Source organism: Homo sapiens, chromosome 2 (assembly GCF_000001405.40).
Source record: "Homo sapiens chromosome 2, GRCh38.p14 Primary Assembly".
NCBI lineage: Eukaryota > Metazoa > Chordata > Mammalia > Primates > Hominidae > Homo > Homo sapiens.
The window spans coordinates 241,568,265-241,593,041 of record NC_000002.12 but is presented as its reverse complement, the minus strand read 5'-3'; the positions used below and the strand labels follow the sequence as shown (position 1 = coordinate 241,593,041).

General features: G+C 51.6%; 2 protein-coding genes and 1 pseudogene across 12 annotated transcripts in view, besides 7 other annotated features; 1 reads left to right on the top strand and 2 right to left on the bottom strand.

Annotated features, from left to right (window-relative positions):
- THAP4 (THAP domain containing 4) overlaps positions 1 to 8,637 on the top strand; it is a 53,172-nt gene extending 44,535 nt beyond the window's left edge. For all 5 annotated transcript variants that reach the window (XM_017004256.2, XM_011511291.3, NM_015963.6 and 2 more), the window contains one exon: positions 8,317 to 8,637. In XM_017004256.2, coding sequence (XP_016859745.1) covers positions 8,317 to 8,436 — 120 coding nt within the window. In that variant the 3' untranslated portion in view covers positions 8,437 to 8,637. The remainder of the gene's footprint in view (positions 1 to 8,316) is intronic.
- Positions 1,652 to 2,546: an enhancer, noted in NCBI's record as "H3K27ac-H3K4me1 hESC enhancer chr2:242529911-242530805 (GRCh37/hg19 assembly coordinates)". NCBI's record gives its function as "activates a minimal SCP1, AML or CMV promoter by ChIP-STARR-seq in naive H9 embryonic stem cells {active_cell/tissue: H9 hESC(naive)}" and the evidence as "EXISTENCE:reporter gene assay evidence [ECO:0000049][PMID:30033119]".
- Positions 2,547 to 3,443: an enhancer, noted in NCBI's record as "H3K27ac-H3K4me1 hESC enhancer chr2:242529014-242529910 (GRCh37/hg19 assembly coordinates)". NCBI's record gives its function as "activates a minimal SCP1, AML or CMV promoter by ChIP-STARR-seq in naive and primed H9 embryonic stem cells {active_cell/tissue: H9 hESC(naive and primed)}" and the evidence as "EXISTENCE:reporter gene assay evidence [ECO:0000049][PMID:30033119]".
- Positions 7,967 to 8,074, bottom strand: RNA5SP122 (RNA, 5S ribosomal pseudogene 122; annotated as a pseudogene).
- Positions 8,215 to 8,743: an enhancer, noted in NCBI's record as "H3K4me1 hESC enhancer chr2:242523714-242524242 (GRCh37/hg19 assembly coordinates)". NCBI's record gives its function as "activates a minimal SCP1, AML or CMV promoter by ChIP-STARR-seq in naive H9 embryonic stem cells {active_cell/tissue: H9 hESC(naive)}" and the evidence as "EXISTENCE:reporter gene assay evidence [ECO:0000049][PMID:30033119]".
- Positions 12,571 to 13,070: an enhancer, noted in NCBI's record as "H3K27ac hESC enhancer chr2:242519387-242519886 (GRCh37/hg19 assembly coordinates)". NCBI's record gives its function as "activates a minimal SCP1, AML or CMV promoter by ChIP-STARR-seq in primed H9 embryonic stem cells {active_cell/tissue: H9 hESC(primed)}" and the evidence as "EXISTENCE:reporter gene assay evidence [ECO:0000049][PMID:30033119]".
- Positions 13,071 to 13,572: an enhancer, noted in NCBI's record as "H3K27ac hESC enhancer chr2:242518885-242519386 (GRCh37/hg19 assembly coordinates)". NCBI's record gives its function as "activates a minimal SCP1, AML or CMV promoter by ChIP-STARR-seq in naive H9 embryonic stem cells {active_cell/tissue: H9 hESC(naive)}" and the evidence as "EXISTENCE:reporter gene assay evidence [ECO:0000049][PMID:30033119]".
- Positions 16,797 to 17,297: an enhancer, noted in NCBI's record as "H3K4me1 hESC enhancer chr2:242515160-242515660 (GRCh37/hg19 assembly coordinates)". NCBI's record gives its function as "activates a minimal SCP1, AML or CMV promoter by ChIP-STARR-seq in naive H9 embryonic stem cells {active_cell/tissue: H9 hESC(naive)}" and the evidence as "EXISTENCE:reporter gene assay evidence [ECO:0000049][PMID:30033119]".
- BOK (BCL2 family apoptosis regulator BOK) overlaps positions 18,911 to 24,777 on the bottom strand; it is a 22,739-nt gene continuing 16,872 nt past the window's right edge. For 4 of the 7 annotated variants that reach the window (XM_047445588.1, XM_011511696.3, NM_032515.5 and 1 more), the window contains 2 exons: positions 22,754 to 22,917; positions 18,911 to 20,745 (listed from right to left, as the gene is read on the bottom strand). In XM_047445588.1, the coding sequence (XP_047301544.1) occupies positions 20,620 to 20,745; positions 22,754 to 22,917 (290 nt within the window). In that variant the 3' untranslated portion in view covers positions 18,911 to 20,619. The remainder of the gene's footprint in view (positions 20,746 to 22,753; positions 22,918 to 24,777) is intronic. The other 3 variants (XM_011511697.4, XM_047445590.1, XM_047445589.1) reach the window with 1 other exon arrangement.
- Positions 22,362 to 22,986: an enhancer, noted in NCBI's record as "H3K27ac-H3K4me1 hESC enhancer chr2:242509471-242510095 (GRCh37/hg19 assembly coordinates)". NCBI's record gives its function as "activates a minimal SCP1, AML or CMV promoter by ChIP-STARR-seq in naive H9 embryonic stem cells {active_cell/tissue: H9 hESC(naive)}" and the evidence as "EXISTENCE:reporter gene assay evidence [ECO:0000049][PMID:30033119]".

Below are 24,777 nucleotides of genomic sequence, written 5' to 3'. Positions count from 1 at the left end.
CAAACTCATGGCCTCAAGTGATCAACCCGCCTCAGCTTCCCAAAGTGCTGTGGTTATAGGTGTGAGCCACCGTGCCTGGCCAGCTTTTCCTTTTAAGATGCATGGTATTTGGGATTATTGTTTCTCTGTAGTGTGAGGTAGCAGTCCCATTTTCCCTTTTTCCCCGTACAGACGTCCCGTGGCCCTTGTTAGGCACTGTGGCCCCGCTGACTGCTGTTTGGGGCATTTCCCTCCTTGGCTGTCAGGATTGATGCTGCCGGCCATAGCGTCAGACACGGTGTCTGCATGTGGATGCAGAAGCACCCGGTTTTTCCCCCTCGCTCTGGAGGAGCGGGCTGGAACCTCTCGAAGAGACCGAGGCTTATGTTGGGGAAGTGAGGCTTTCCTTTAGCTGCTCCGTGGCATCTGGGGGATCAGGCTGGGATGGGACGTGTGAGTGTCTTTACTGTTTGTGTGGGTGTTGGTGGGCATGGCCCAGACTGCAGGCCCCACAGAGGGTAGCAATGCCTCAATGAGCTGTGTACTGAGCCTGGTGGAGCCTGTGAGCTGCCGAGGGTCCCTGGCCAGCTTGCCCCAGGGACAGCTTGTCACTCATGTCCGGTGACTGAGCAGTGGTGGCACACCCCAGGGGAGAACTGAGTGTGTTGGAAGAGGCTCGTGTGACTCTTTTTGGGAGGGCCTGAGGGGTCCCCAGGCTCCCGCTGACCTGCACATTCCCTGTGCTGTGTGTGTCTGTGCTTTGTAACTTCAGGGCCCCATGCAGTCTGTGTAGCACGTGCCTTGCAGCAGCCCTGAGACGAGGCAGGTCCAGGCCAGGCCCCATTTTACAGTGAGGCTCAGAGAGGCCCCCAGCCTGGCAGAGCCTCCCCGCTTCCTGCCTTATGTGGGTGGCTCTGGACCTAGCTTTGCAGCCTGGGCTGCCACCGGTGACCTGCGAGCTTGAGCATCTTTTCACGTCGTTGCTGGGTCATCCTCCAGCGAGGTGCCTGTTCAGGTCTGGTGACCATTTCCACTGTGCCTTTTCTGGCTGACATGTCAGAGTTCTTTATATGATTTGAATAAAGCTCTGTTAGCTAAATGTGTTGCAAATAGCTTTTTCGGTCTGTGATTATCTTTTGAGTTTTACAAATTGTTTTTGAAGAACAGAGGTTCTGGATTTTATGTGGTTCAGTTTGCCAATCTCTTCCTTTATGGATTCTGTTTTTAATGTCTTAGTTAAGCAGTCTTTCCTCACTAACAGGTCAAAATATGTATTCTGAATTTTTCTGGAAGCTTCACAGTTCAACCTAAAATCTTTCCTTTAGGTCATTAATCCACCTGGGGCTGAGTTGTGTGTATAGTGTGAAGTGCTGTCCCCTCTCCTTGTTCTCAGATGAGGGCCAGCTACCCTGCACCCTGCATGAAGAGCCCGGCCCCCCTGTTCACCCATGCAACTGCCCCCTGAGCCCCTCAGTATCCTTCATCAGGGGTCTGCTTCTCACCCTCTCTCTGGTTCCAGGTGGTCTGTTTGTCAGTCCCTGTGCCAATACCACACTGTCTTCATTATCATGGCTTCTACTTTTTAAAAATCACCTCTATTGAGGTATACTTTATATGGAATAAATGCATACACTTCAAGTGTGCAGTTTGATACATTTGGACAAGCATATATAATCTTGTAACGCTGCGCCAGTCAAGACTGAGAACAGTCCCAGCACCCTAGAAAGTCCCCGTGCTCCACAGGCAACCCCCGCTGCCCTCTCAAGCCCCCGGCCTGGTTTCTGCCACTGTAGACCGAGCAGCTCTGAGTGTCCTAGTGCCCATGATCATCAGCCGAGCAGTTCTGAGTGTCCTAGTGCCCATCATCATCAGCCGAGCAGCTCTGAGTGTCCTAGTGCCCATCATCGTCAGCCGGGCAGTTCTGAGTGTCCTAGTGCCCATCATCGTCAGCCTGGCAGTTCTGTCTGTCCTAGTGCCCATCATCATCAGCCGAGCAGCTCTGAGTGTCCTAGTGCCCATCATCGTCAGCCGGGCAGTTCTGTGTGTCCTAGTGCCCATTATTGTCAGCCGAGCAGCTCTGAGTGTCCTAGTGCCCATCATCGTCAGCCGAGCAGCTCTGTGTGTCCTAGTGCCCATCATCGTCAGCCGGGCAGTTCTGTGTGTCCTAGTGCCCATCATCGTCAGCCGGGCAGTTCTGTGTGTCCTAGTGCCCATTATCGTCAGCCGGGCAGCTCTGCGTGTCCTAGTGCCCATTATCATCAGCCGAGCAGCTCTGAGTGTCCTAGTGCCCCTCATCATCAGCCGGGCAGTTCTGAGTGTCCTAGTGCCCATGATCATCAGCCAAGCAGTTCTGTGTGTCCTAGTGCCCATCATCATCAGCCGAGCAGCTCTGAGTGTCCTAGTGCCCATCATCGTCAGCCGGGCAGCTCTGCGTGTCCTAGTGCCCATCATCATCAGCCGAGCAGCTCTGAGTGTCCTAGTGCCCCTCATCATCAGCCGGGCAGTTCTGAGTGTCCTAGTGCCCATCATCAGCCGAGCAGCTCTGTGTGTCCTAGTGCCCATTATCATCAGCCGAGCAGCTCTGAGTGTCCTAGTGCCCATTATCATCAGCCGAGCAGCTCTGCGTGTCCTAGTGCCCATTATCATCAGCCGAGCAGCTCTGAGTGTCCTAGTGCCCCTCATCATCAGCCGGGCAGTTCTGAGTGTCCTAGTGCCCATCATCATCAGCCGGGCAGCTCTGAGTGTCCTAGTGCCCCTCATCATCAGCCGGGCAGCTCTGAGTGTCCTAGTGCCCATTATCATCAGCCGAGCAGCTCTGAGTGTCCTAGTGCCCATTATCATCAGCCGAGCAGCTCTGTGTGTCCTAGTGCCCATTATCATCAGCCGGGCAGCTGAGTGTCCTAGTGCCCATTATCATCAGCCGAGCAGCTCTGAGTGTCCTAGTGCCCATCATCGTCAGCCGAGCAGCTCTGCGTGTCCTAGTGCCCATCATCGTCAGCCGAGCAGCTCTGCGTGTCCTAGTGCCCGTCATCGTCAGCCGAGCAGCTCTGAGTGTCCTAGTGCCCATCATCGTCAGCCGAGCAGCTCTGAGTGTCCTAGTGCCCATCATTATCATCAGTGGAGTCACAGCACACAACTCATTTGTTTCCGGTCTCCTTTCCTCACTGAAACGCTCTCAAGATTCAGCAGTTCTGCTGCATGTGCCACGTCTGCTTGTTGCTGTGTGGTGGTCCACCAGTGAGCTTGTCAGTTTTGTTTATCCTTTCTGTTGATGGATGTTTATTTTATTTGTTTCCAGTTCCGGGCTATTAGGAATAAAGCTGTAAGCATGTGTAGACCTAACTTTGTGTGGACACATGTTTTTTTTCCTCTTGGGTGCATACCTGGGATTGGAACTGCTGGGTTCTGTGGTAAGCACCAATCTCTTCCAGAGTGGCTGTCCCCCTTGACACCCCAGCAAGGTTGTCCCACAGCCTCGCCAAGGGTTGGCCTTTGAGTTTTATCCTGGCCACTACAGGGTGGTATTTTATTGTGATGTTAATTTGCACTTCCCTGCTGAGTAACGATGCTGCTCATCTTTTTGTTGTACTTATTTGCCACTTGTATTTCTTGTTTTGTGAAATGAACATTCAGATTTTTTGCCCATTTGTTTAAGTGTTTGTGTTATTCCTGAGTTGTAAGAGCCTGTTGTTTGTTCTGGGTATAAGTCCTTTATCAGGTGTACTTGCCAACACGATATTCCTATCCTGTGCCTTGCCTTTCTGTTTCCTAGACAGTACCATTTGAAGAACCAAATGTTGTTTTTTTTGGTGGGGGTGGGGGGTTTCTTTTCTTTTTCTTTTTTTTTTTTGAGACATTGTTTGCTCTCGTTGCCCAGGCTGGAATGCAATGGCCTGATCTCAGCTCACTGCAACCTCTACCTCCCAGATTCAAGCGATTATCCTCTCTCAGCCTCCCAAGTAGCTCGGATTACAGGCTCCCACCACCATGGCCGGCTAATTTTTTGTATTTTTAGTAAAGACGGGGTTTCACCATGTTGGCCAGGCCGGTCTCGACCTGACGTCAGGTGATCCACCCTCGTTGGTCTCCCAAAGCGCTGAGATGACAGGCGTGAGCCACCATGCGCAGTCTAGAACCAAATGTTTTAATTCTGTTACCATTTTTTTTCTCTAGTCAGTGCTTTTTGTGTCCTGTCTTAAAATTTTTCACCTAGCCCAGGCAGCAAAGATTTTCACCTGCATTTTCTTCAAGAAGTTTTATAGTTTTAAGATATATGCTATTTGGAATTGCTATTTCTAGATGGTATGAGGTAGTAGTCACGTTTTTTCCATTTTTCCTCATACAGATACCTCGTTTCCAGCACCATTTGTTGAAAAGAGAACCCTTAATTTATTAAAGTATGCAGTGCTTTTGTCGAAAATCAACTCACTTTGTGTGTGTGGTTCTTCCCCAGGACTCTCTCTTCTGTCCCACTCTTCTCTGTTTCGGTCTTTATACTGTTACCATGCTGTCTTGATCATTGTAGCTTTATATTGAATCAGGTGATAGAAGTTACCCAACTTTTCTTCTTTTTCTTTTTTCCAAAATTGTTTTGGCTATCCTAGGACCCTTTGCATTTCCTTATGAATTTCAGAATCAGCTTGTCAGTTTCTAGAAACATTTTCATTGGAACTACTTGAATTTCTAAATTAATTTGGGAAGAAGTGCCATCTTAGGCAAACTGAGTCCTCCAATCCAGTGCCATGGTAAGGTGCTCCATTTATTTAGATCAGTCTCATCCTATATTTTCTTGTAGTTTTCAACGTATTGGTTTTGCACACATTTTGTTAAATTTATTCCTACATATTTTGTGGTTTGGGATGCTATTATAAATGATTTTTTAATTTTCCACTTATTTGTTGCAAGTATATAGAAGTACAATTAGCTGTTGTATATTGATCTCGTATCATGTGACTTTGTTAAATTCATTCATTTCTGTAGTTTGTTTCTTTATTTTTCTTCTTTTCCTTCCCTCCCTCCCTCCCTCCCTTCCTTCCTTCCTTCTTTTCTCTCCTTTTTACTTTTTTCTTTCAATAAAAACAAGGTATTCTGTGTTGCCCAGGCTGGAGTAGAGTGGCTATTCTCTAGTGATTTTTTTCTTTTTTTTTGAGATGGAGTTTCTCTCTTGTTGCCCAGGCTGGAGTGCAGTGGCGCAATCTTGGCTCACTGCAACCCCCACCTCGCCAGTTCAAGTGATTCTCCTGTCTCAGCCTCCCGAGTAGCTGGGATTAAAGGCATGTGCCACCACACCCGGCTAATTTTGTAGTGATTTTTTTTTTCTTTGAACAGGGTTATTTAGAGATATGTTACTTATTTTCCAAATAATTGAGAATTTTTTAAATAGATTCTATTGCTCAGGATTTTTCATTCAATTCTATAAGGCCCAGACAACATACCCTCTAATATTTTAGTCTGTTAAAAAATGTTGGAGACTTATTTTACGCCCCAGTATATGGCCTAACTTCATGAATATTTCATGTACACTTAACGAATGTAGCATTCAATAGTTATAAAAGTCCCCTCCACAAGCTGGAAACCCTGGGATGCCAGTGTCATGGCTCAGTCCAAGTCCAAAGGCTTCAGAACCAGGGAAGTCAGTGGTGTCACTCTTGGTCCTGGGCCAAAGGTCTCAGAGCCCTGAGGAGAGAGGAGGTGCTGGTGACATCTGGGAGTCCAAAGGTCGGGGGGCCTGGAGGTGTCCAAGGACGGGGGAGGAAGAGTGTATCCCAGCTCCAGCAAACAGATGGACATATTCGCCTTATCTTTGTTTTTATTTTATCTGGGCCCCCAGCCTATTAGATGGTGCCCACCCTCATGGAGGGTAGATCTTCCTCACCTGGTCAGTCACCTCTGGAAACATCTTCTCAGACATACTCAAAATAATCCTTTACCGGGTTTCTAGGTGTTCCTTAATCGGTCACCTTTGACCTTTGACACCTAAAATTAACCATGACACCCACACCCACCTCTGGCTGCTTTCAAGTTTCTATTTTCTTGCCTTTGATTATCAGCCAAAGTTTTGCTGTGATATAATTAGAATTTGTGGCTTGATATATTTTGTTAGGCTCAGAAAATTGGCCATGATCTTTTCAAATATTGCTTGTGTTCTGTTGTCTTTCCTATCTTCTTCTGGGTCTCTGGTTACACATGTGTTCAGTCTTTTGCAATTTTCAATGTGTCCCTTATGCTTTCATCCATATTTTCCATTATTCTCTAAGCTTCAATGTGGATATTTCCTACTGATCATTTTCCATTTTACTAATCCTTTCTTCATCTGTGTCTAATTTGTCTATTTCATTATTGGGGCCTTAATTTGAGTTATTATGTTTTTCAGTTGTAGAATTTATATTTTAATCTTTTTGATAAATTCTGATTACCTGCAGAAATTCTCCATATTGTCTTCTAATAACTCCAGTATTGGTATCCCCTGGGTGAGGGTGGGGGAGGTGTCTATTTCCTGTTTTTTCTTTTGATCTTATCTCCTAGTAACCTAAGGAGTTTTTCTTTTTTTCTTGGATTCTAGACAATATGTGTGAAAAATTGTAGAGATGACTTGAGGCTTCCTTTGATGTTATCCTCACCAAAGAGCAGTTCTGTGCTTCTGCCTGTTGGTCAAGGATGGACAGCTCGTGTTCAGTAGAGGCTGAGCTGGTTTGAAACCGGACTTCCCAGCCTGTTTCTGGTTAACTCTTACTCCTGGGATGGGACCCTTCAGGGACCCCACCCAAAGCTGGGGTGCTTTTTTTTTTTTTTTTTTTTTTCCTCTTCAGATGGAGTCTCGCTCTGTTGCTCAGGCTGGAGTGCAGTGGCGCGATCTTGGCTCACTGCAAGCTCCGCCTCCTGGGTTCACGCCATTCTCCTGCCTCAGCCTCCTGAGTAGCTGGGACTACAGGCACCCGCCACCACACCCGGCTAATTTTTTTTGTATTTTTAGTAGAGACGGGGTTTCACCCTGTTAGCCAGGATGGTCTCGATCTCCTTACCTCGTGATCCGCCCGCCTCGGCCTCCCAAAGTGCTGGGATTACAGGCGTGAACCACCGTGCCCAACCTCAGGGTGCTTTTTTTCTTTCTTTTTCTTTTTCTTTTTTTTTTCTTTTTTTTTTTTTTTTTGAGAAGGAGTCTTGCTCTGTCACCCAGGCTGAAGTGCAGTGGCATGATCTCGGCTCACTGCAACCTCCACCTCTTGGGTTCAAGCAATTCTGCTGCCTCAACTTCCCGAGTAGCTGGGACTACATGTGCATACCACCATGCCCGGCTGCGCCTCTCCTCCTAGATGGACACTGAATTCCAGTGTTTGTCCCTCCAGCTCCATGAGTCTGAGAAGGCCCCACTTAGCTTCTCAGCCTCTTAGCTACCACATCCCTCTCAGCCTCCACCCCTTGAACCCCTTGACTTCCGGGCAGCAAAAGCATCGGGGCCAGTTGCTCCAAATTGGGTCTCACCTCCACACTTCCTTCTCTTTGGGGTGCTGGTCCTCGCTGACTTGGTGGTTCTCTGACACCTTTAAAGAAACTTCTTAAAACCTGGGTTGTTATCTGCAGGAGGGTTGGTCAGTTACAGAGTAGTCAGCCATGGCCATAAGCAGAACTCCGTTTCATCCACTTCTGGTGCCCCCCACCCCACATGACCCCCCACACATCTGGGGCACTAGAGAGATAGTGCCCATCAGAGAATTGTCTTTTGACAGTGGTCACTCTCACAATTTGCCGGCAAACATTCTGGGCATATAGGGCTGACTCATTCGGGACTTAGCTGCCATAGGCTTGGATTCTTGTTGGAAACAGCTGCTATAATTTATTCTGATGAATTACTGTTCCAAAGATGGTATTTCTGAGCTTTCCAAGAACACACTGGACATCAGTTCTAGTTACAGTGAAAGTGGGAGGCAGTGGAGAAGGGAAGCACTGGAAGCTCAGCGCTTGTCTGATCAGGTATATGATTTGTAGAGACCAAAAAAAGGTGACTTCTCCCATCCAAGTACTAACCAGGCCCGACCCTCCTTAGCTTCCGAGGTCAGACGAGATCAGGTGCGTTCAGGGTGGTATGGCCGTCGACAAAAAAGGTGACTTCTAAATAAACAATCCCTGTGTTCCCCTGGTGGTCTTCTGGAGGCAGCTGAAGGGCACCTGGATTGTGACATGCCCAGGGGCCCTGGGCTGTGTGTCTACCCTCCTCTGGCAGGGCCACTGCCTGGCTCACAGCCCGTGATGAGTGTGTGGCATGCAGTGGGCGCACAGGCATTGATTGAATCTTTTGAAGATAAAACTAAGCTATCTTTGTTCCATTCTCCTGCTCAGATCACCCGGAAGTTCAGGCTGAATTCTGAAGGCAAACTTGAGCAGACGGTCTCCATGGCAACCACGACACAGCCAATGACTCAGCATCTTCACGTCACCTACAAGAAGGTGACCCCGTAAACCTAGAGCTTCTGGAGCCCTCGGGAGGGCCTGGCTACTGTGCCTCAACGGTTCGGCTCCTCAACAGACAGTCCCTGCGGCAGAAGTGGGTGTGGCCGTGAGCCTCTGCAGGCTCAAGAGTGTTGTCCAGATGTTTCTGTACTGGCATAGAAAAACCAAATAAAAGGCCTTTATTTTTATGGCTGAGGATTTTGAATATTATCACTTGCGTAGGCTGTACATTTTTTTTTTATCTGCTGATGTTTGTTTTCCAAAGCGTTCCCTAAGAAATTAAGAAGGGGGCTGGGTGTGGTGGCTCACGCCTGTAATCCCAGTACTATGGGAGACCAAGGCTGGCGGATCACCTAAGGTCAGGAGTTCGAGACCAGCCTGACCAACATGGAGAAACCCCGTCTCTACTTAAAATACAAAAAATTAGCCAGGTGTGGTGGCGCATGCCTATAATCCTGGCTACTTGGGAGGCTAAGGCAGGAGAATCGCTTGAACCCAGGAGTTGGAGGTTGCAGTGAGCCAAGATCGCACCACTGCACTCCAGCCTGGGAGACAAGAGCAAGACTCTGTCTGGAAAAAAAAAAAAAAAAAAATTAAGAAGGGATGAATCTCTTTCCTTTTCTTTCTTCTTACAGTTTTGACAAGATCTAAAATATTTGTAAATCTTCTATAGAGTTGGCCGGGCGCAGTGGCTCACGCCTATAATCCCAGCACTTTGGGAGGCCAAGGCGAGGAAATGGCTTGAAGCCAGGAGTTTGGGACCAGCCTGGGCAACGTGGCAAAACCCCATCCCTACAAAAAAAAATAGAAATATTAGCCGAGTATGGTGGTCCATGCCTGTGGTCCCACCTACTCAGAAGGCTGAGGTGGGAGGATCCCTGGAGCCCGGGTGGTGGAGGTTGCAGTGAACCAAGATCACACCACTGCACTCCAACTTGGGTGACAGAGCAAGACCCTGTCTCCAAAAAAAAAAGATGGCAGTCATTTTCTCATTACTTTTAAAGAGCCGAGTCTATATTTTCCTACAGATGGAGCATTCCCAAGAGGCTAGCTGTGATCTTAACATCATCATGTAAGTTTTAGTTTGTAACTCTAATACAGCTTTCGTTTTTGTGGGGTTTTTTTCACTATGAAAGTTTCCAAACATACACTAAACCCTTGTACCTGTCACCCAGCTTCAGCACCTGCCAGCATTTTGCCCAAAGCACTTCCATCTTTTCCTCCCCCACTTCTGCGGGAATACACGTAAGCAAATTCCAGACATATTGTCACTTGCCCCTAAATCCTTTGGTAGGCATCACAAAACAACACAAAGCCATTTTCTTTCTCTTAACTCGTTGCCATATCAGAAGTCTCACCAGGCACATGGAGACGAGGCTACACGGGTGTTGGGAAGCAGAGTCAGAATAGGTAGCACACAGGCTGCGCAGGGTTAACATCCAGGGTAGCAACCGCAGGTACCACCTCCAGGGCTTGGGGACAAAAAGTATTACCAGGGTGGGGTTTCAGGGACCTCAGAGCTTACAGGATGTGCTTGGTTCTCGCAAGAGGGGCAGGAGGGCCTAGGACTGTACTCCAGGAGCCAAGGGGGCACCAAGGGACCTGGTGGCTGGGCTCAGAGCTGTCTCTGCTCCCAAAGTGATGCTGAAATAACCTGGGAACACCAGGGAGGTCCCAGCCCCAACTCCTGCATCCAGGGCTCCAGCACACCCAGCTGGAAGGGTGTGTGGAAGGGCAGCACTCAGGGCAGAGCACAGACAAGCCAAGAGACAAGAAGTCAATAACTGACGGCACAGTGCTGTTTTCACAAAATGCATAAGAATTCTGTAATGTTCTCTAACAGTCCTATTCGTATTTCCCTTACTGCCTAAGAAATATCCTCACACGATTGGATTATCAAAGCTTTATTCACGTTTGTGTTTGGCTACAAAGTCTTTTAGGATCCTTTTGATCCTAAAAGTCCCCCTCTTCCCTCCCCTGTGCCCTTGACTTGTTGGTGAAGCTGGTCACTTGTCCTCGAAGGTGTCCCCAGTCTGGACTTAGCATCCTCCTTGTAGTGTTTAACTTGTTCCTCTGTCCCCTCTATATCCTGTCGTCTGGAAGTTGGATCTAAAGTTGTGGCTGGAATCACACCCGGACGGTGCTCAGTTCCTCGTGTCACAGCCTCATGTCCAATTGTGTCACTTTGTTGAAGCATTAATAAGCTTGGATGGCGACAGCCTGACCCCTTTATCGTCAGTTTCCCCTCAACTGTTCCCCTGACAGTTTTGCCACCTGTGGGTGACCATTGCTAGAACCAGAACCTTCACTGGGACTGCAGAATTCTCGTCTTCTGTCTCATCAGAAGGACATTTAGTGGCTGGAATTCTCTCAGACCTTCCCTTTATCCATTAGGGTAAGTCAGGTTACCCTGAAGTGCGTTCATACTAGAAAGGCAGCATAAGCACTTAATTATTTCCCTTTAATGATCAATTTTTGGAGTAAGAATGTCCTGGCACCCTCCAGTGGTGCCAAAGGACTGGGAGTTCCTCACACCACTGCACTTACCCTTCCCGCTTCCCTACTCATGTTACGAGCTTAATGCTTTCATGTATACAGTCTGTCCTCAGTATCCACAGGGGTGCGTTACAGGACCCACACGGGTACCAAAATCAGATGCTCGAGTCTCTTGTATAAAATGGCATGGGATTTGCATGCAACTTATGCACATTCTCACATATACCTTAAGTCATCTCTAGATTGCTTATAATACCTGATACAGTGTAAATGCTCTGTACGCAGTTGTTATACTGTATATTTTTGGGGTTTTTTATTGTGGGCTTTTGGGGAATATTTTTATTTTTATTTATTTATTTATTTATTTATTTTTTGAGATGGAGTCTCGCTCTGTTGCCCAGGCTGAAGTGCAGTGGTGCGATCTCGGCTCACTGCAAGCTCTGCCTCCCGGGTTCATGCCATTCTACTGCCTCAGCCTCCCGAGTAGCTGGGACTACAGGCGCCCGCCACCACACCTGGCTAATTTTTTGTATTTTTAGTAGAGACGGGATTTCACCATGTTAGCCAGGCTGGTCTCGATCTCCTGACCTCGTGATCCACCCACCTCAGCCTCCCAAAGTGCTAGGATTACAGGTGTGAGCCACCATGCCCGGCCAGGAATATTTTTTATACACAGTTGAATCCACAGAAATGGAGGGCCAACTGTATTTGATATCATTTTAATCAAGTGCTGCGTATATCTTTGGCAAACAGGAGATGCTCAGATTATCTCGTAATTGGACAGAGGAGCCCCTCCATCCAGTGGGCTTTGATGCCTCCTTGCTCTGGGGCCACAGCTGCCTCTGACTTTTCCTGCCCAGAACCTGGAACTACCCATTTCTCCAGAGCCCTGGTTCTCGTTAGTGGGGAGTGGGAATTGGAGGGAGTGGGAATTGGAGGCCACAGACTGAGCACTGACTGCTTATGATGGCTGGGCTGCTCTACCTCCCAGCCTTTCCATGGACAAAACCAGAAAATTGTTCTAAAATTTATTTTCTCAGCTAGGCGCGGTGGCTCATGCCTGTAATCCCAGCACTTTGGGAGGCCGAGGTGGATGGATCACCTGAGGTAAGGAGTTCGAACCTGGCCAACATGACAAAACCCCATCTCTACTAAAAATACAAAAAATTAGTCAGGCATGGTGGCGGGCACCTGTAATCCCAGCTACTCGGGGGGCTGAGGCAGGAGAATTGCTTAAACCTGCGAGGCAGAGGTTGCAGTGAGCCGAGATCACACCATTGCACTCCAGCCTGGGCGACAGAGCAAGACACTCTCTCTCAAAAAAAAAAAAAAAAAAAAATTTCTGGTTTATTTTCTCTGAATCGTGAGGTTGTATTAGAGATCAGGACCCTTCACCCTTAACTACTTTAGCATGGGATATACACATGTATTTTTGAAAAATATGAATTCATACTGTTTTCCATTCAAATGTTAAGATTATAAGGGTTTTTAAATATTCTTTGATTTTACCTCTTAAGCTGAAAATCTTGGTTCATTACAACATTAACATTATTTGCTTTATTCTACATATAAATGCATATAATCATTTCAAAATAAGCCTGGGCAACATAGTAAGACCCCACCTCTACCAAAAAAGGTATTGTTAACAATGACTACTGGTCAAAGTTTTTTTCTGCTAGCTTTTTTAGACCTTTCCCTTTGAAGATACAAAGTTAAAATATGATGTAATTGGATTAACTACTCTGCGCTTCTGTCACCAACTTGATACACAAGTCCATTTGTTTAAATTCTAGAAATTGTTATAATTTGTTTTGCGAATACAAATCATTTGACTGGCTTTCTTGTCAGAACTGTAAAACCAGGCACATTTGCTCCACACAGGCCTCTAGCACAGCTACCGAGTGCTCCGGTAAGCTCGCCGTGGGTTAGCTCGCCGTGGATTAGCTCACCGTGGGTTAGCTCGCCGTGGATTAGCTCGCCGTGGGTTAGCTCGCCGTGGGTTAGCTCGCCGTGGGTAAGCTCGCCGTGGGTTAGCTCGCCGTGGGTTAGCTCGCCGTGGGTTAGCTCGCCGTGGGTAAGCTCGCCGTGGGTTAGCTCGCCGTGGGTTAGCTCGCCGTGGGTTAGCTCGCCGTGGGTAAGCTGGCCGTGGGTTAGCTCGCCGTGGGTTAGCTGGCCGTGGGTTAGCTGGCCGTGGGTAAGCTGGCCGTGGGTTAGCTGGCCGTGGGTTAGCTGGCCGTGGGTTAGCTCGCCGTGGGTTAGCTGGCCGTGGGTTAGCTCGCCGTGGGTTAGCTCGCCGTGGGTTAGCTGGCGGTGGGTTAGCTCGCCGTGGGTTAGCTCGCCGTGGGTTAGCTCGCCGTGGATTAGCTCACCGTGAGTTAGCCAGCAGATCCCCTCATGCTGGGCCTTGGGTTGTTTCCAGTCTTTGGCCAATCAAATGTCAGAGTTGGACCCAGCACCTCCGTTGGGACTGCAGAGTGCTTGTCTTCTAAGTCTGGTTAGAAGGGCATTTCCACATCCTTGTGGATTCTGGCCATCGTATCTTAAGGATACATTTCTGGAAGTGGGATTGCCAGTCGGCGGGGAGAGGCTCATCTGGCTTGTCTGGGTGTTGTCCCTGTCCCCAAGGGGCCAGGCGTTCTGCATCCCCACAGCATTGTAGGAAGTCCCTGCCCCCCTCAGCAGCCGAATCTGGTGTCAAATTTGGATTTGGGTCAATCTTGTAGGTGAGAAATGGAGTCTTGGGGTGGTTTTGGTTTGCATTTCTCTCTCTCTTTTTTTTTTTTAATCATTTTCTTGATTTTCCAAACTCATGAGCTCGTTTGAATAAGGAATATTAATCCTAATATTTCTCATTTTAAGTTATAATTTTTATTGAGGTAAAATATACATAAAACAACATTTTTATCAGAGTCCTATAGATGGTTAAAAAAATTCACCATTTTAACCATCTCTTAAAGTCTACAATTTAGCAGCATTTAATACATTCATAACGTACAACCATCACTTCTGTGTGCTTCCAAAGCCTTCATCACGCCAGAAGGAGACCCCGCGCCCGTTCAACACCATCCCCCCACCCTCAGTCCCCGACAGTCACTGCCCTGCTTCCCACTCAAGTCACCGACACTTTGAAAATGTGCTATGTTATAAAACTTTTTTCCCAGTATACATTTTGTCTTTTATCACTCCTGGGTTTTAAGTCATATTTAAGAAGATTTTGCCCACTCCCCGGTGATGAAGGAATTCACTTTTTCCTAGTACTTTTGACCCATTTGGAATTTGTCTTAGTGTATGGTATGAAGTGCAGATTCATTTTCGTCTTTCTCCAAGTGGTTAACGTTTAACCACTTGTATTAACAAGTCCATCCTTTCCTCACCGGTATCATATGCTACCTTATAGACTGAATGTTCTAGGCACTGGGGTCTGTCCCCGGGTTTTCATGTCCCTGGGCCTGCTTGCCTACATGGGTCCTGGTGTCATGTGGTTCCATTACGGAGGCCAGGAGATGGTTCGGGGGCAGAGGACCTCTCCATTTCTTTTGCAGAGTTTTCCTGGCTATTTTTACACTCCTGTGCACTTCCTCTCTCACATGAACTTTATAATTAGTTTTCTAGATCTGGGGAAAAGCATGCGGCGTTTTTATAAGGATTACATTACATTTATAAATTTACTTTTGTAGAATTGTCTTGCTTAGGAGAGTTTTCTTATCCAGGAACATGGTCTTTCTTTCTGTCTTAATTCATTTTCTGTTGCTATGACTGAATACCACAGAGTGGGTAAGTTATAAAGAAAAGAATTTTATTTCTTACAGTTCTGGAGGCAGGGAGTCCAAGGTATAGGAGTTGCATCTGGTGAGGACCTTCTTGCTGGTCAAGACTCTGCAGTCTCAAGTGGTGCCGGGCATTATGTGAGGGTCTCATGAGAGACGGCAAAGCTGGCTTTTATAACCAGCCCCCTGGTGATAACTGCTCCACTCCCTGAGAACCCATTAGTCCATGAATGGATTAGTCCTCATGAGCCAATCACCTCCCCAGAATCCCATCCCAGCACTGCTGCATTGGAGTCCAGGTTTCCAACACATGAACTTTTGGGGAATTCATTCAAACCATGGTGGTGTTAAAATCGACTTTGGTGTCTTTATGGTCTATTTAAAGTTTTTCCCATTTAGGGTTTCACATTTCTTTTACGCATGGGGATTTTTATCTTTTTGTTGCTGTTAAAAATGGGTCATCTCTTCCACTCTGTCTTTGAACTGAAAGTATGCACAAAGATCTCTGTGTGCTACTTTAAATCCTGCTGTTTCTCTGAATTCTCTTAGTGTTTGTAACATCACTTTCTTGTGCTGGAAATATAACAAAGTATTTGATCCAAGAAGCATCTGGCAGGAAGCCTGGGCAGGAGGGGCACCTTGAGCATGGGCTTCCTCCTCCCCTTTCCTCTGTCTCTTCTCCTACCGGCTGCTTTCCTTCTCTCCCATCTGCTGTCCACCAGGCAGGCGTTGCCAGACCACCCCAGAGGTCCCCTCTTCATGTTTCTTGAGGCTGCGTGGGGGGAGGGCATGATAGAGGGAGGCAGGGCTTCGAAGGAGGCACTCGGGGGAGGGGGGGGCGAGGAGAGGATGGGGCATGCGAGGGGGCCTTGTCCTCCAGCTTTGTCAGAAGCCTAATGTGCCCTGTGGCCTGAGCTGGCATCAGACAGGCTTTAAGAGGAGAATGTCAGCTGGGTGCGGTGGCTCACACCTGTAATTCTAGCACTTTGGGAGGCCGAGGTGGGTGGATCCCTTGAGGTCAGGAGTTCGAGACCAGCCTGGCCAACATGGCAAAACCCCATCTCTATGAAAAATAGAAAAATTAGCCAGGCGTGGTGGCAGGCGCCTGTAATTCCAGCTACTCAGGAGGCTGAGGCACAAGAATCACTTGAACCCGGGAGGCAGAGGTTGCAATGAGCCAAGACTGCGCCACTGCACTCCAGCCTGGGCGACAGAGTGAGGTCCTAAAAAGGGAAGAATATCGCTGCATCAGAAAGCAGGAAGGTGGGGCCTGCCCGGGGCCATGGCCCTGCAATGAGTTTGGCCCAGAGGCACAGACAGACAGGAGACCAAAGTGAAATGAATGAAAATGGACTGGACCCGATCGGAGGACTGAGGAGAGCCAGGCCTCAGGGCACCTGGCATTTGTTCCCTGGATGGATCAGGGGAACTGAGGAGAGCCGGGCCGCAGGGCACCCTGGCGTTTGTTCTCTGGGCGGATCAGGGGAACCGAGGAGAGCCGGGCCGCAGGGCACCCTGGCGTTTGTTCCCTGGATGGATCAGGGGAACCGAGGAGAGCCGGGCCGCAGGGCACCCTGGCGTTTGTTCCCAGGGTAGGGGAGCTCTAGCATGGCACACAGTAGCAGAAGATAGCAGGTTGTGGTCGGCCCATGTAGAGATTTTAGAAACATCTCACACTTCATGAGATCTTAGAAACATCTCACACTTCAGGTTCAGTCACCCGTGTCCAGTGTCCACAGGAAGGCCTGTGCAAGGCCTCATGGGAAACAGGGTGGTCCACCAGGCCTGCCCTCAAGGGGGCCCCGTCCCGGAGAAGCAGATGCACAAAGCTGAGGGACACAGGTCGTGGGCCTTCTTGTGTGGCTCCTTGGCCACGGCACCGCAGCACCTGAGAGCCACCGCTGGAGAGGCAAACGAGCCCTGCAGCAGGCCCGAACCAGAGTTCCTGGGCACGGCCGCGTGCACCCAGTCGGGAGCTTCCCTGCTAAGGGTCAGCGAAGGCTTGGGGTGCTGGCATTAGGGCTGGGTCCTGAGGGAAGATGAGGGAGAGAAGTATAGGAGGAGGAGGGAGTTGAAGGCTGCAGACAGGAGGAGGAAGGGGAGGGAGTAGGGCTGCCAGGGGAGGGGTGGAGGGCTGGATAAGGAGGAGGGCTACAAAGAAAAGAGTAGAGCTGCAGGGAAGGAGGGTGGAGGGCTGCAGCGGGAGGAGGAGAGGGAGGAAGGCTGCAAGGGGAGGAGGAGTATTGCAGGGGAGGGGGAGGAGAGCTGGCAGGGGAGGAGGAGGAGGGCTACAAAGAAAAGAGAACTGCAGTGGGAGAAGGAGAGTGGTGGAGAGTTGCAGGGGAAGGGGAGAGGGAGGAGGACTGGAGGAGGAGGAGGGATGTAGGAGGAGGGTAGTGGAGGGCTGCAGAGGAGGAGGAAGAGGAGAATAGGGAGGACAAATCCACTCTAGCAGGGGAACGAAAGCAGCATGGGGCAGACAAATCCACTCTAGCATTCCAATCTCCCTAAGCCTTTGAATCCCTTCTTCTACACTAACCATGGGCGGCCAGGCATGTCCAGTTATCCCATGGTGGGCCATGTTTTGGCCCATGTTTCAGCCAAGCAGCCAACCAACCAATTAGAGCCCTTTCTAAATGCGGAATCTCTGCTTAGTGAGCCCGTATCAATAAACTTGGCCTGATCTAACTCTGTGTTCCTCCTACCATTCTCCCAGGCCCTCAATATGCATTCCCACGGTCCTGGGATTTCTATGTAAACTGGAAAACTCACGTTCTCTTTGGTAAGTGCATCTCCTCATGGTCACGCCCTGTATCTCTAGGGGCTGCCCAACATCAGTCTAGTTCCATGTCTAGAAGCAAAGAGGGGTGGGGGCAGATCCTGGGAAGCAGCAGCTTGGTCCTGCTAGTCAGCAGCCTCAGGGCAGTCCCATTTCCTCAGGCAGTACAGGGTTAACCCACTCAGATGGAGTTGGGGAGGCTACCACTAGGGTTAGGAAGGCCTCTTCCACTGAAGACTCATCAGGATTTAGGGGTTGTCTTCACTGTTCATCAGGGTCACCCCACACATCCTCATCCCAACTGACAGGATCCCATTCCTTCCTAACCAATGCCTTCATTTGCACAGCAGACACCGTGAGGCTGGGAGTTCCACATGTGCTATAATCCAGCCACTGGAAGGGCGAGATTCTGGGTTTGATTTTCAGTAGTCTCAGACCCGCAGCTAAAGGAGGTAAGAGTCTCTCTTGGGACAGTCATAACTTTCAGATTATTCATGTGACACTTCAGCTGGGAATCTGAATCCTGAGCTCACTCCCATGATACTTTTTCTGAGATGGAGTCTCACTCTGTAGCCCAGGCTGGAATGCAGTGGGGCAATCCCAGCTCACTGCAACCTCTGCCTCCCAGGTGCAAGTAATTCTCCTGCCTCAGCCTCCCGAGTAGCTGGGATTACAGGTGCCTGCCACCACACTTGGCTAATTTCTGTATTTTTAGAAGAGTTGGGGTTTTGCCATGTTGGCCAAGGTGGTCTTGAACTCCTGACCTCAGGTGATCTGCCCGCCTCAGGCCTCCCAAAGTGCTGGGATTATAGGCGTGAGCCACCACACACGGCTTTTTTTTTTTGAGACAGGGTCTCACTGTGTTACCCAGGCCGGAGTACAGTGGTACAATCACAGCTAACTGCAGCGTCAACCTCTCAGATTCAACCAATCCTCCCACCTCAGCCTCCAGAGTAGCTGGAACCACAGGTGCAGGCCACCGTGCTTGACTAATTTTATTTTTTAGAGATGGGATCTTGTTATGTTGCCTAGGCTGGTCTTGAACTCCTGGCCTCAAGCCATCCTCCTGCCTCCCAAAGTGCTGGGATGACAGGTGTGAGCTACTGGTCCTGGCCCATTATACTCTAGTTTGATGAAAGTGTTCAAAAGCCACCGAGAACCCTGCCTTCTGCAAGTATTTAATTAGGAGCACCCAGTGGTGATACTATGCATACCTCTATTGCCACATCACACTATGGACTATCGGTGTTCTTTTTACTACTGGAAATCAGCATTAGTGCCTTTACATCTAATCAGGATAAAGACCCAATTCCAGGAACCCTCCCATCCCCACCCTCTCGCCACTCCCCACCCTCAATTATTTTCAAGCAAACCCTCCGCACCTCTTACCATGTTGTGTATAGGTAGAAGCTATTTAACACACACACAGTGACATTCTGTCTAAAATGACAACGATCGTTTGGAGAAGTTTATTACCACCCCTACCCTCCAGTGGGATCTCAATGTCACGATGAGTCCGGGGCTGGCTTTCCGCCGGGACCCTCCTGTCCTGGCACATGGCCCACCCCAGCACGAAGCCTGGCCGGGAGGGCTCAGGTGGGTGGCTGCTAGGCCAGGCCTCCCCAGAACGACTGCCCCATGTCCAGCCTGTATCTCCTGAGTGCCATGCTGCACTGGGGAGGGACAGGGCTGGCTCGGGGCTCCAGGAAAGATGCCTCACATGTGCCTAGAAATGTAGGCGTCAAGGGAAGGCTGTGTGTGGGGGCACCTGAGGGGCTGGGCTTCCCAGGCATCTGAGTTCTTACGGAGCCCTAATAGGCACATCCCCAAATGGTTGTATGAGGATGAGCACAAAAATAGCAGATGGGGTCACCCTCACCCTCCACTGACAATGGACTGGGATCCGACTCATGCAACATTCCTTCTCGGCCGTAGGTTCCACATCCATGGGTTAGGTGTGCTGGCCTGGAGCCCGCCGGCCCCGGTCCCCACCGCACAAGGACCCCATCACAAGTGGGTGTCATACTCTTCCTCCAGAAACGGATTAAGCAACCAGCATGTGAACCTTACGCTCTGTTTACAGGCTGAGTCCCCACAGCTCTTCCAGCTTCAGCCAGGCCAGGGTCACCTTCAGATTGAATGTGCAGGGCCCCTGAGGACTCATGTCCTGAGATGGCCCTTCTTCCTGGGATGGGACCCCCGGGTTCAGGTGAGAGGTGTTCCCGGGCCCCTTCACCTGGGGCTCAGGTGACAGGAGGTGTTCCGGGCCCCTTCACCTGGGGCTCAGGTGAGAGGAGGTGTTCCGGGCCCCTTCACCTGGGGCTCAGGTGAGAGCAAGTGTTCCGGGCCCCTTCACCGGGGGCTCAGGTGAGAGCAGGTGTTCCGGGCCCCTTCACCTGGGGCTCAGGTGAGAGCAAGTGTTCCGGGCCCCTTCACCAGGGGCTCAGGTGAGAGCAGGTGTTCCCGGGCCCCTTCACCTGGGGCTCAGGTGAGAGCAGGTGTTCCGGGCCCCTTCACCTGGGGCTCAGGTGAGAGCAGGTGTTCTGGGCCCCTTCACCTGGGGTTCAGGTGAGAGCAGGTGTTCCCGGGCCCCTTCACCTGGGGCTCAGGTGAGAGCAGGTGTTCCCGGGCCCCTTCACCTGGGGCTCAGGTGAGAGCAGGTGTTCCGGGCCCCTTCACCTGGGGCTCAGGTGAGAGCAGGTGTTCCGGGCCCCTTCACCTGGGGTTCAGGTGAGAGCAGGTGTTCCCGGGCCCCTTCACCTGGGGCTCAGGTGAGAGCAGGTGTTCCCGGGCCCCTTCACCTGGGGCTCAGGTGAGAGCAGGTGTTCTGGGCCCCTGCATCTGAGGCCTGGGAGTTGACCCTGACTTCCTGGCCCCAGAAAGAAAAGGGAAAACACAGAGATCACAGGAGAAGGGACACAAGCGGGGAGGGTCGCAGGCTGCCCCAAAGCCCAGCTCCAGGCTCAGGAAAGCCCCTCCCCACTCACCCCTTCCGGAGGGCCTGGGTCTGCGGAGGAACGGGGCTTAGGGGGTCTCCGAGGGTTAGAGTGCTCCAGGCTCGGGTGGGGAGGAGGAAGATGTGTTCGGGTGCTGAGGGCCTCCTGCGTTGGGCCCAGAGGGCCAGGCTGCGGCCACTGCCAGGTGGGCAGCTCATCTCTCTGGCAGCAGCACGAAGAAGGCAGCCTTCAGGAAGCGGCCGAAGCTGCAGAGTGCAGCCACCAGCCAGTGGGAGCGGAGGCCAGGGTCTGTGCTGACCACACACTTGAGGACATCAGTCTGGGAGGGAAGAGGGAGACCGTTAGAAAGCAGAGCCAGCACCGCCAGGCCCCCAGCACCGCCAGGCCCCCCAGCACCGTGCACCAGAATATCAGCAAAATTGCATGAAGGGAATGCAGGAGACTGTTCGGGAAGGAGGTCTGTGGCCTGGACTGAAGGCTCCAACACAAGACCAGACCCGATGCCGTGCACATTCAGACAGTGTGAAGGGCCAGGAGGCACGGGAGGTGGGGACAGATGGCAGCCAGGCAGGCCGGCCGGAGGGCCCCTGCCGAGCAGGAGAGAGGCCTTCATGGCCCTCGCTGGGGCTCCAGACATCCAGACCAGGGTGCCAGCTCCCCTCGGCCACCTGCCTGCTGCCCCCCAGGGGCTACAGGTATGCCGCCGTCATCCTCCTGTGGGGCCTTGGAGCCTGGGCTACCAGGAAGGGGCAAACCCAGCTTCATTCAGACTCTGCCTGGAACAACAGCAGGGACTGCGTTTCCGGAAGCCCACGGACTCCCTGGACTCTGAAGTTCCTTCTGGGGAAGTGAATGAACGTCCAATTCTCTTATTCCCTTCACTTCCTGCTAATACATGAAGGCTTTTCCCTGCAGCCTGGACCTGTGGCCTTGGCGTTGCTCAAAGTGTCGTCGCCCACTGGGCACACAGTGCCCAGCCCCATGCCAGACTCCACAGGAGGAAGACAGGAGGGGACGGAAGTCTTGGGGTTTCTGTGCTGAGGGACACCTGTAGCCATGTGCGACATCTTGGGACATTGCCCTCTGCACCCCCAATTCAGCCTTCAGAGGAGACCACAGCCCCCGCAGACCACGTGACCTCAATCTCTCGAGATGCTAAAGCTAAGGCCCCAGCAGAGGGGTCTGAGCGCTGTCACCCCTGGCCGCTGATTTACACACCAGGCCAACACCCGCTGTACAGGAAAGAAGGCTAGACTCTCGGCAGGGGAGCCACCCTCCACACCCAGGGCCCAGCGGCAACTGCGGTCTGGCCGGAGCAGGGCAGGAAGTTGGGGGCGTGGAGACAGAGGAAGGGTTTGGCTCTGACACCCACCCCTCGGGGCCTTGCTTTTCCCACTCGGGAGGGCGGGGGCTGGGGCAGCGGGTCCTTAGCACAGGGGTAGGATCGGGGGTAAGTCAGTGCTGGATCTGGGCAGAGGAGAGTCCAGGGCCTGCCTGTAGGTCTCGGCCCTTGCCCCACCCCCTGCCTCACCCATCTCCCCCAGGAGTGCTCAGGTGACCACCCATCCGCCACTCCCTCCCGTACCTCTGCACCCTCGCACCCCAGCTCTCCCACCCCCACAGGCGCTCAGACACTCACCCATCCGCCACTCCCTCCTGTACCTCTGCACCCTCGCACCCCAGCTCTCCCACCCCCACAGGCGCTCAGACACTCACCCATCCGCCACTCCCTCCCGTACGTCTGTACCCTCGCACCCCAGCTCTCCCACCCCCCAGGCGCTCAGAGGCTCACCCATCCACCACTCCCTCCTGTACCTCTGCACCCTCGCACCCCAGCTCTCCCACCCCCACAGGCGCTCAGACACTCACCCATCCGCCACTCCCTCCCGTACGTCTGTACCCTCGCACCCCAGCTCTCCCACCCCCCAGGCGCTCAGAGGCTCACCCATCCACCACTCCCTCCTGTACCTCTGCACCCTCGCACCCCAGCTCTCCCACCCCCACAGGCGCTCAGACACTCACCCATCCGCCACTCCCTCCCGTACGTCTGTACCCTCGCACCCCAGCTCTCCCACCCCCCAGGCGCTCAGAGGCTCACCCATCCGCCACTCCCTCCCGTACCTCTGCACCCTCGCACCCCAGCTCTCCCACCCCCCAGGCGCTCAGACACTCACCCATCCGCCACTCCCTCCCGTACGTCTGTACCCTCGCACCCCAGCTCTCCCACCCCCCAGGCGCTCAGAGGCTCACCCATCCACCACTCCCTCCTGTACCTCTGCACCCTCGCACCCCAGCTCTCCCACCCACACGGGCACTCAGGCGCTCACCCATCCGCCGCGTCTCCGCAGCCAGGTTGCCAGGGTCTTGCGCACGAACTCCCCCAGGCAGTCCACGAGGGCGTGGACCATGGCAGGCTGGGCCTGCCTCACACAGTCCACGGCCAGCCCCGCGGCCACCGCATACAGGGACACCACCTTGCCCCACGTGATGCCTGCAGGGAGAGAGATGGTCAAGATCAGGACTTGAATCCCGCCCACGGGAGCACTTAAGGAAGGGGCTGGGCCTCTCTGAGCCGCTGTCCTGCTTGCCGTCCAGCTAATGACCAGGGACCGTCCCAAGGGGGGACCGCTCCCTGACAGGATGCCTGTCAGGTAGTTCTTGGGCAGGCAGGTTTCTCGGCCTCCACTGCACACCTGCCCAGCCCACGTCTGTGCAGGAGGCCGCAGGGACAACGTGGGGTGAGGCGAGGGAACTGAGGGCAGCAGCAGATGGAGTGAGCAGCCAGTGACCTCACGGGTGGCACCCCTGGGCTGCCTGTTCCCACAACAGGCCTGGCGTCCACATTTTACACATAAAGAAGCTGAGGCCCGCAGAGAAACTGCCTTCCCCAGACCCCTAACCTGCTGAGGCTGAACTGAGATGGGAGCAGCCTTGAAAGAGAGGACGAAAGATGGTGACAGCGGGGGAAAGAATAAAAGGCAGGACACGACGCCTCAACACGGAAAGACGTCTTATACGTGAGCGAGAAAAGAGAGGCTTTCAAAAAAGAACTATGAGCACAGAACTGGAACAGCTGATTCACAAAAGAAAATTATAATAAGAGACACGAAAAATGTTTACCTTCATTAATAACCAAAGAAAGGCAAATTAAAACAAAATGTAATCTGTTGCATTAAAAGCTTTTACGCCAGGCGCGGTGGCTCACGCCTGGAATCCCAGCACTTTGGGAGGCCGAGGCGGGCAGATCACAAGGTTGGGAGTTCAAGAGCAGCCTGACCAACATGGTGAAACCGTCTCTACTAAAAATACACAAAAAATTAGCCAGGCGTGGTGGCACGCGCCTATAATCCCAGCTACTCGGGAGGCTGAAGCAGGAGAATCACTTGAACCCGGGGAGGCGGAGGTTGCAGTGAGCTGAGATCGCGCCAGTACACTCCAGCCTGGGCGACAGAGCGAGACCCCGTCTCTAAATAAATAAATAAATACATGCTTTTAAATGGCAGTGTGAGGATTCAGGCCACTGCACAGCCTTGTAAACCTTGGTGGGAAGCCCAGCTTGAGGGCACTGGCAGTATCTGAATGGCCACAAAACATGCAGCCCAGCAGTGATCCCCGCAGGGAGTTAGCAGCGGTCCCCGGAGGGAGTCAGCAGTGGTCCCTGGAGGGAGTTAGCCTGAGGACACTGTACATGCAAAGATGAAGCACTGCTCTCCAATCCACCCTCATACAGCGGCCAACCTGGATTTGTTATGAAAACATAAATCAGCTCAAACAAACACTCAGTCACAGACATTCACAGCAGCCAATTCACAATTGCCAAAAGGTGGAAAGAACCCAAGTATCCTTCAACAGATAAATGGATACAAATGTGGTGGATGTTACTCAGCCACAGAAGGCAGGCTGGGCACAGTGGCTCACGCCTATAATCCCAGCACCTTGGAAGGCCGAGGTGGGCAGATCACCTGAGGTCAGGAGTTCAAGACCAGCCCGGCCAACATGGTGAAACCCCATCTCTACTAAAAATACAAAAATTAGCCGGATATGGTGGTGGGCGCCTGTAATCCCAGCTACTCGGGAGGCTGAGGCAGGGCAATCACTTGAACCCAGGAGGTGGAGGTTTCAGTGAGCCCAGATCGCACCACTGTACTCCAGCCTGGGAGACAGAGCAAGATTCTATCTCAAAAAAATAAATAAATGGCTGGGCGCGGTGGCTCACGCCTGTAATCCCAGCATTTTGGGAGGCCGAGGCAGGTGGATCACGAGGTCAGGAGATCGAAACCATCCTGGCTAAAACGGTGAAACCCCATCTCTACTAAAAACACAAAAAATTAGCCGGGCATGGCGGCTGGTG